We start from the raw sequence: 1,334 nt of genomic DNA on the forward strand, positions 1-1,334 counted from the left end.
ATCCACTGCTAGACATTTAGGTTGATTCCATATCTTAGGTATTGTATATAGTGCTGCAGTAAACATGGGAGTGAAGATAACTCTTTGACATAATGATTTTATTTTATTTTTTTGATATATACTCGGTAGTGGGATTGCTGGGTTGTATGGTTGTTCTATTTTTAATTTTTGAAGAATCTCCATACTGTTTTCCATAATGGCTGTGCTAGTTTACAATCCCACTAACAGTGTGTAACTATTCCCTTTTCTCCACCTTCCTTGCCAACATTTGTTTTCTTCCTTTTCTTTTCTTTTTTTTTCGATAATAGTAATTGTAACTGGAGTGGAGTTGTATCTCATTTTGATTTTGATTTGTATTTCCCTGATGATTAATGATTTTGAGCATTTTTTCAAAGACTTTTTGGCTTTTTGTATGTATTCTTTTGAGGAATGTCTATTTGGGCCTTTCACCTATTTTTTAATTGGGTTATTTTATTTTATTTATGTATTGCTGTTGAATTATTTAAGTTCCTTATGTATTCCAAATACTGACCACTTGCCAGATGTATATTTTGCAAATATTTTTTCCTATTCTGTAGGTTGTCTCTTCCCTCTATTAACAGTTTCCTTTGCTGCAAAGAGGCCTTTTAATTTAATGTAATTCCATTTGTGTATTTTGTTGTTGTTGTTACCTGTGCTTTTGACGTCTTACATAAAAAAATCCTTGCCCAACCCAATGTCATAAAGTGTTTCCCTCATGTTTTCCTTTAGTAGTTTGGTTTCAGGTTTTCCATTTAAGTTTTTAATCCATTTTGAGTTGATTTCTGTATACGGCGAGAGGTAAGGGTCTAGCCTCATTCTTCTGAATGTCATACCCAATTTTTCCAGCACCATTTACTATTTATTTATTTCTACTTTCGACTTTTATTTTAGATTCAGGGTATACATGTGCAGGTTTGTTATAAGCATTTATTGCATGGTGCTGAAGTTTGGAGTACAATCGAACCCATCACCCAAGTAGTGAGCATAGTACCCAATGGGTAGTTTTTCAGTTCTTGCTCCCCCAACTCACTCCCCGACTTGTAGTCCCCAGTGTCTATTGTTCACTTCCTTATGCTCATGCCCAGAACCATTTATTAAAGAGATTATTTTTCCCCCAATGTGTGTTCTTGACATCTTTGTCAAATCAGTTGGCTATGAGTGTGTGAATTTATTTCTGGGCTTTTAATTCTGTTTCGTTGGTCTGTGTGTCAGTTTTTATGCTAGCATCATGCTGTTTTGGTTACTGTAGCTTTGTAGTATATTTTAAAGTCAGGTCATGTGATGCCTCCTGCTTTGCTGTTGTTGTTCGGTAT

This window comes from Homo sapiens, chromosome 9, assembly GCF_000001405.40.
Source record: "Homo sapiens chromosome 9, GRCh38.p14 Primary Assembly".
In the NCBI taxonomy this organism is placed as follows: Eukaryota; Metazoa; Chordata; class Mammalia; order Primates; family Hominidae; genus Homo; species Homo sapiens.